Source organism: Homo sapiens, chromosome 1 (assembly GCF_000001405.40).
Source record: "Homo sapiens chromosome 1, GRCh38.p14 Primary Assembly".
NCBI lineage: Eukaryota > Metazoa > Chordata > Mammalia > Primates > Hominidae > Homo > Homo sapiens.
Window position 1 is genome coordinate 82,647,711 of NC_000001.11, and position 8,884 is coordinate 82,656,594.

Below are 8,884 nucleotides of genomic sequence, written 5' to 3' on the forward strand. Positions count from 1 at the left end.
ACTATCCCTGCAAAGGGTTCATGCATTATTTGATCATATTTTGGGACAATTTTAAGATCCATGACATTGTTGAAAACAAGAGGGCAATCAGCTAGCAGTTGGTAAAGGTTAATGTCTAGGTGTGATACCAATAGAGAGATACCAGCCAGAAACTCACAATGAGATAAGGGACATCAGCGAAAGACACTGTCAGAGAGGTCAGGTAAAAGCACTGTTATCCCTGGGATGGGAGGAGGGAGTCAAGGTGAATATGCATGCCCAAAGTTGCACCCTCTGAGAAGGGACACTCCAGGCTCTACACTGTAGGAGAAAAATAGACCTCAATGGACAGAGCCCTAAAATATATGAAGCAATAACTGACAGAATGGAAGGGAGAAACAGACGATTTAACTATAATAGTTGGAGGTTTCAAAATCTCACTTTTAATAATGGAGAAAATAAGTAGGCAGAAGATAAACAAAGATATATGACTTGAACAGCACTATAAACCAGTTAGCCTTAACATACATCTCTAGAACACTCTACCCAATAGCAACAGAATACACATTTATCTCAAGCACACATGGTACATTTTTTAAGACAGACCATAGGTTAGGTCAAAAAACAAAACTCAATAAATTTAAAGGGATTGAAATCATGCAAAGTATGTTCTCTGACCTTGAGAGAATGAAATTTAAAATAAAACCTAACAGGAGGAAACTTGGGAAATTCACAGATATGTAAAATTAAGCCACACACTTCTAAGTATCCAATAGGGCAAACAAGAAATTACAAGGGACATTATAAAATTCTTAGAGATAAATGAAAATTTATAAAAAGAAAGTAAAACGAAACAGCCAGGTGCTATGGCATGCTCAAATCCTGGGCTCAAGTGATCCTTTCACCTCAGCCTCCCAAGTACCTGGGATTATTACTCCCAAGTACCAGGAGTTTGAGACCATCCTGGGTAACAGAGCAAGGCCCCGTCTAAACTTAAACTTAAAATTAAAACAAATAAACAAAAGCCTCATATTTTGGGATGAAGCAAAACTAGTGCTTATAAATACAATTTATAGCCATAAACACCTTTAATATAAAAAAGGCCCAAATCAACCTTAAGAAACTTGAAAAAGAAGAACCAACGAAACGTAAATTAAGCAGGCTGAAGGAACTAATAAATGTCAAGTCAGGAATTAATGAACTAGAGAATAGAAATACATAAGGAAAAAAAAATCAATGAAACTGAAACTTATTTTCTATTTTTGAAATCAACCAAAGTGACAAGACTTTAGGGCAAATGAACAAGAGAAAAAGAAAGAGGACTCAAATTACTATAATTGAGAATGAGAGATTAGATCTCACTGTCAACATTATGGAATGAAAAAGATTAGAAAGAAATATTTTTAAAGAATTTTTAAAAAATGATTACTTAGACAAAATGGATAAATTCCTATAAAGACCCAAATAAAAAATAGAAAATATGAATTAGACCTATATAAAACAAAATAGATAATTTTAAAACTCCTTGAAAAAAGCCAATGTCCAGTTCCTTCACTGGTGAATTCTAACAAATATTTTAAAAATTAAGATGAATTATTCACAAACACTTTCAAAAATAGAATAGGAGATGCATTTCCAGTGTATTCTATGAGGTCAGTATTACTCTGATACAAAAACTGGAGAAAGAAATTACAAGAAAAAAATACAAACCAATATTGCAAATGAATATAGACCAAAAATCTTCAATAAAATATTACCAAACTGGATCCAGTAAGACGCAAAGAGTAATTTACAATAAACAAGTGTGATTTATCACAGGAATGCAAGGTTGTTTTAAAATATGAAATTCAATCACTGTCTTATGCCATATTCATAAAATAAAGAATAAAAACCACATGATTATTCCAATATGTGCAGTGAATGTATCTCAACAAATTGCAAAAGCTTGTAAAGAAAAAGGAAAAGTTCTCATCTTGATAACGAACACCTATTAAAAAAAAAACCCTGCAGTTAGCATCATTAATGGTATTTTTTCCCCTAAGATCAAGAATAAGACCAGAATCTCTGTTCTTGCCACTTCTATTCCATCCACATTGTATTGAAAGTACTAGTCAGGCCAATTAGATTAAAATAAATAAATAAATTTTATTCATATTGTAAAGACAGAAGTAATATGATCTCTTTTCACAGACAACATGACCTTGTATATAAAAATGTCTAAAGAAATCACTAAATACCTATTGCAATTAATAAGCAAGTTCAGTAAGCAAAGATCAATCTAAAAAATTAATTATCTTTCTATAGTCTAGCAATGGACAATGAAAATAAAATCTGAAAATTAATGGCATTCACAGCAACCTGGATGGAATTGGAGAATATTATTCTAAGTGTAATAACTCAGTAATGGAAAGCCAAACATTGTATGTGCTCATTCAAAAGTGGGAGCTAAGCTATGAGGATGCGAAGACATAAGAATGACACAATAGACTTTTAGGACTCAGCAGGAAAGTGTGGGAAAGGGATGAGGGATAAAATACTCCAAGGTGGGTTCAGTGTACACTGCTCGGGTGATGGGTGCACCAAAAGCTCACAAATCACCACTCAAGAACTTACTCACGTAACCAAATACCACCTGTTCCCCAAAAACCTATGAAAATAAAAAATTTTAAAAAAGGTATCAAAAATAATTTTTAAATGTAGAAATACATTTTATAAAAGATGTACAAAACTTATGAAAACAACAAAACTGTTTTGAAGGGAATTGAAGACATTTAAATAAATAGAAAGATATCCCATGCTCATGAATCAGAAGACTTAAATTATGAAGATGACAAGATTCCCCAAATTGATCTACAGATTCAATGAATTTCCTAACAAATTCCCAGCTGGCTTTTTCAAAACTTGATAATCTGATCATACAACTGATATTAAAAATGCAAGAGACACAGAATGGCAGAACAATCTTGAAAAAGAAAAACAAGTGTCAGGACTCACGTTTCTCGATTTCAACACTTTAAAGCTACAATAATCAAAACCATGTGGTACTAACACAAAGATGAACAAACAGACTATAAAATAGATTGAGAATAGAGAAATAAACATTTACATGTATGGTCAATTGATTTTTGACAATGCTGCCAACAATTCAATGGAGAAAGAATCGTTTTTTAAGAAATGGTACCCGGACAACTGGATATCCACATGCCAAAAGATGAAGATGGATGCCTTCCTCATATCATACATAAAAATTAACTCAGAATGAATCTTAGACCTTAATGTGACAGCTACAACTATAAATTCCTAGAATAAAATTTAAGAGAAAATTCTTATAGTATTTTATTAAGTAATGGTTTCTAGGTACAATACCAAAACCACAAACTGTAAAAGAAAAATAGATGCATTGGACTTCATCAAATTAAACAACTTTATGCTTCCTATGACACAATCAAGAAAGTGACAAGAAAATCCATAGAATGGGAGAAAATAGTTTTAAATGATGTATTTGATGAGGAGTTAATACCCAGCATAAAGAATTCTTAGTATTCAACAATAAAAACACAACAAGGCAATTAAAAAATGGGAAAAATCTTTAAGTAGACATGTACCCAAAGAAAATGTGCAAATGGCCAATAAGCATATTAAAAGATCCTCAATATCATTAGTCATATAGAAAATGTAAATCAAAACCATGATGAGATACAACTTTACACCCAGTAGGATGACTAAAAATGACAAGACGTAACCAGTGTTGGCTACAATGTAGAGAAATGGGAACCTTAACATATTGCTTGTGAGCTTGTAAAATTGTACAGCTACTTTGGAAAACATTCTAGCAGTTCCTCAGGATAGTAAACATAGATTTACCATATGACACTCAACAATTCTACTCTTTTATTATACCCAAGAGAAATGAAAATATGTCGACAAAAATTTCGTACCTGAATATTCTTGGCAGCACTATTCATAATTATGAAAAATCAGAAACATCCCAAATACGAATTAACTGTTGAATGGATAAACAAATTGTGATATATTCATACAACAGAATATTCAGCAATAAGACATGAAATACTGATATATGCCACAATATGGATGAAACTTGAGAATATTATGCTAAGAAAGGAGACAGTCACAAATGAAAACATTGTGTAATTTCCTTTATATGTAATGATCAAAATAGATATACATGCAAACAAGAAAACGTAGATTAGGGCATGTGGTTTTTGCATGGACAATGAAAATATTTTAAAATTATGTAGTGGTGATGGTTGCAAAATTTTGTGAATATATTAAAACTATTGACTTGTACACTTCAACAAGTAAATTTTAAGGTATTTGAATTACATCTCATAAAGCTTTAATAGCAAGTAAGCAAACAAACATAACACCTGAGGAAACTCTATTTGATTCTCAAACACTGAAATGTTTTTCTTGGCGATTCTTATTTACATAAAAGCCTGTAAGAGCCACTATGATGATAAGCACTTTACATATATATTTTCACTTAATCTCACTTAATAACTATAGCAACTCCATGAACTGAGTGTATTGTTTTCCCTGCTTCGTAGATGATATAACAGACACTGAGAAAGGTTAAAGCCATTGGTCGAATTCACATTATTACTAAATCTCACAACCAAGTTATTGTTCTTAACCATTGTGTTGTTGTACTGTTCACTCCACCCTAGCACCTCAGATAGGACACTTAGATGCTTTTGACTGTGAAGGACCTACATCACTAGATGTTGTGCACAATTCCTATGCTCCTTAGAGAAATTTCAGAATTCCAGTAACAGTAGTGGCACAAAGGAGATTTTGGCTGACCAACAGTATGTTTGGAATAATAAACTAATTGCTTGTTAGCTCTAACTTTTTGGCATGAAGAGAGGTACAATAAGCATGCAGTTCAAACAACTCACAGTGCTCTATGTTTTCTCTTTCTTTTCAAATATGACAACTTATCAAATAATAATATTCATTTTTTAAGGTGTCTTTATGGGTTCTCCTTTGTTACTTATGCAATGATGCATGGTGTAGGTTGCAAACCCACAAATCATAATATTGAACCCAACAGAAAAGAAGTTATCAACACCAACTAATGACAATTAACAAAATAAAGTGATGAAAAGTAATCAACAGATCATTTTATGTACTCTTTCAAATTAATAAACAATTGGGTTCAAGTTTGCCTTTTAAGTAGAATTACTCAATTCAAAGCCCCACAAAAGTATGTATAAGGACACAACTTACAATTCAAAGGGATGCCAAAGTCATACAGATCAATGAAGTCTTTGCAGATTAATAAAGTGATGGCTCAAGAAACTCTTCTTTCTTCAATGTCACAAAACTAAGCAGAGATAGAACCAGAGCTAGAATCTAAGTCTCCTGGTTTCCAGCCTAGTTGCAATGTTGCTCTCTCCCGTTTAATCCCAATGGACTCAGAACAATAATATAATGTGGGTACATTCAGCTTTTATTTATACTTGACAAAGTAGAAAACAATTTCTTATCAAATGTTGAAGTAAAAGGAATGTTGATTAGTCAACATTTTATGAAGATTTATTAATTTTGTCTCAGTTATTCTTACATTTATTTAAACATTGATTACCTCTCTCTTTCTCAAGAAAACAATCTTTCTCTGGCTCCCTAACTGTAGTACCAAAATATAGGAGTTTATTTTACTAATAGTACAGAATTAAGGAAGACAGCTAAAGATTAGAGAAAGGGATGCTGTAAGAGATCACTGGAGAAATCGAGAAAATAAGATGTTAAAAACCTAAAAAATAATATTCTCAACATACAGAGAGAAAGTTCACTTAAAAACAAACTTTGAAATGTAAACAGAACCCTCTTTTTTTCTAGCAATAATGCTGAAATAGTACAAATCCCATCATCAAATATCACAGGGCAGCAATTACTTGTGTAATATGACAACATTAGTCTAAGTTCTTAAAGCAGAGAGAGTATCACAAGAAGCTATTTATGTTACATGTTAGGCTCTTTTGGCATTAATTCTCATTGGGTTTGGCATCATTTCCAATCCACAGAATTGACAGGATATGACATCGTAAACTGTATTTTCTAGAATTTCTTTGTGAATAATTGTATAACATTCCTTTGATTGTTACTTTCTATTTGTTGATGAATCCTTTTATATTTTGATTACTTTGTCCCCAAGCTAGATTGTTCCTCTTTCTTCTTAATCTGAATATAGCTAATGGATAATTACAAATTAGTGGAATGTGCTTCTGATATAATCTGTAATCACTTATTTCAATAGTGGCAACAAATTCTAATCTTAAAATCTGATGGTAAGTATGTGGTCTTTAATAAAATCCAATGAGAACAGTAAATAAAAAAAACAACTTAAGTGAAAAAAAAAAAGACTTTATGGCAAATTTTTAAAAATGACTTTTTTTCAGCTACTTTCCTAAGAGGAAGAATTGTAAGACATTACTCATTCATTCACTCATTCATTCATCGTTTATATTGTTCTTTATTCAAGCCATTAAGGTTTACATTGTCTAATATTTTTTGACTTGCTTCTCACCTTCACCTTCATTAATATTGCAATCGAATAGAATGTGAGTAAAAAAATATGTACCTCGATTATTTTTCTTTGACTTCCAAGACACGGATTTAAACTATATATGCATATATGGTGTATGGTGTATTTGCTATTTATATAAAGAAACACATCATATATATATGATTTATAGATGTAATATATCATTTTAAATAAAAGTAATCTATTTTCATTATAAAAAATTCTGGAAGATGCGGACAGTTGTTTTTAACTATCTATGCTCCCAGCACTTAGAATTACCCAATCTTAATACTTTTATTTATTTTCCTCTAGCCTAAATAAATGTCTGAAATAAAGGTTATATGTTTACTTTCCATCCTCATCATAACCAAGTGGAACTGTACTGCCACAGAGTCACAATAATATAAAGATCATTTTCTAACACAGCAGCCAATTAACATGATGAAAAGTCTAAGGGTAGCATAAAGCTTGATCTTTATGAATTTGAAGTGGCATGCTCAGTTTAGACAGATTAATTAAAACAACCAGGTACATGTTCTTATCATATTCGATTCACATCTTCCAGTATTAAGGTTGTATTAGGTTTTAAAAATGAGGAATTAATCCAGAGAGGTGCTAATTAAATGTAAATAAAGGCCATTATCAACTTCTCAATGGAACTCAACTGGTATTATTATATCAAATAAAACTGGTGTCAATCAGATGCCCAGGTGCATGACCTCTTAATTTTCAGCTTTAGGTTTTTCAAAGAACCATTATTGACTAGATAAATTTAATTACATATTCATAGAAAGGTTTGCTGACCATTTTCTTGGATAGCACAGAATATGCTGCAACATAACTATTTATTCCCTCAAAACAAAGGTTTGTTTCATCAACAAAATGACTTTAGACTATAATTCATATCAAGCTGTTCAGTTCACCCAGAACATTCCTGGAGTACAATTATGGATTTTTTTCCAGGAAAGTGATCCAAGGAAATTTCACATTTTACAAGTGTGTGCTATGAAATATGCTCTTACTCGCCTTTCTCACTCAATTTTGTTTGAACATATCTAAGTGTCCATAGGTATTAAAAATGAATATTCCATATCAATTTCATAGATATATGAAGCAAAATGACTTTTTTCTGTGAAAAGAAAAAAGGGATTCAAATGACAGAATTCTGGTCTTGAAAATGAATGTTTTTGAAAAATAGTCTTGAAATATTATGATTAATAATAATTAGCCTAGGCTAAATAGTATTACCATTTGTTTGCCATTGTTTAGAAAAGTGGAAAATTGCAGTTATAATTGTTCTCCTCTTATTTTAACTACTCTTTATTGCTTGCACTAAGCATATGGTTGATTACGATGTTTGATGAATTTCAGAAGTTGAGGTTGCCTCTAAGACCCAAACTTTTAGGTTGTTTTTAAGTTCTCTATAAAACCATGACCATACTTAATTGTTGGTGTAAGTCAAGTTAGAGCATTTTGTTTTATCTAATTATTGGGTATCTTTCACATTTCCTTACATTAAAGATCTGCTACCTGAATAATGCTGTTTTAAACATAAGCATCCAAATAATACAACTACCTAGTAATGTTGTAAGTTCTCAACAAACGTTTATTATTTTGAATGGATTTAGAAGCTCTCAAGGAGCTTAAATGTCAGACAGTGAGACAAAAATAAAGCAAACAAAAAACATTCCTAATGCAAACACAATAAGATACTTTAATAGAACAGTCTTATAAAAACTGAAGCCATCCCATAACTACATTGGTAAGAAGAAAACTTACATTTGTGATATGTTTACCCTCTCTGGAAGTAGAACTAATTATCTCCATGTGCTTTCTCCATAGGTTTCTGGAACTGAAATAATAACATCATGTCTTGTTATTGGAACAATATATCAAAAGACAAGCAAATATAAAGCTAATTCTCTGTGGAATGATACTTTCAAGTTGGAATTTATGTTACATTAACCTATTGTTTGAGAGGTTATATATGATGATATTTTTGCCTTAAATATTATTTGACTAGTGTGGGTTTACCAAGCTAACTATGCCAATAAAGAAATTCTGGAATATACTTTCTGTTACATACTTTGAAGGATTTTTCTCAGTGAGATAAACTAACAAGTCTAATTACTTCCAAGTCTTTAGGACATTTTTCAATTAGATCTTAAGCCAAATAAAGCTATCAATAGCACGTCTTTAAGCCTAGGGATGGAGATTTTGGCTCACTCTTAGACCAGAGAGAGAAGGTCAGGTATGTTGCTTCCCCCAGGCTTTCTATCTTTCCTAAGCCTGCTAATGAGAGCTTCACCAGATGAGGAAATTCCTTATTTGGTGTAATCCAAAATCAGAGAATTTACA

At 31.6% G+C, this 8,884-nt stretch overlaps 1 long non-coding RNA gene across 1 annotated transcript in view; it reads left to right on the forward strand.

The window, feature by feature from the left end:
* The window catches only part of LOC105378814 (uncharacterized), a 34,806-nt gene extending 26,238 nt beyond the window's left edge, over positions 1 to 8,568 (forward strand). Inside the window, exon 4 of the long non-coding RNA XR_947533.2 lies at positions 8,369 to 8,568. This is a non-coding gene — a long non-coding RNA (uncharacterized LOC105378814). The remainder of the gene's footprint in view (positions 1 to 8,368) is intronic.
* The last annotated feature ends 316 nt before the right edge of the window (positions 8,569 to 8,884 follow it).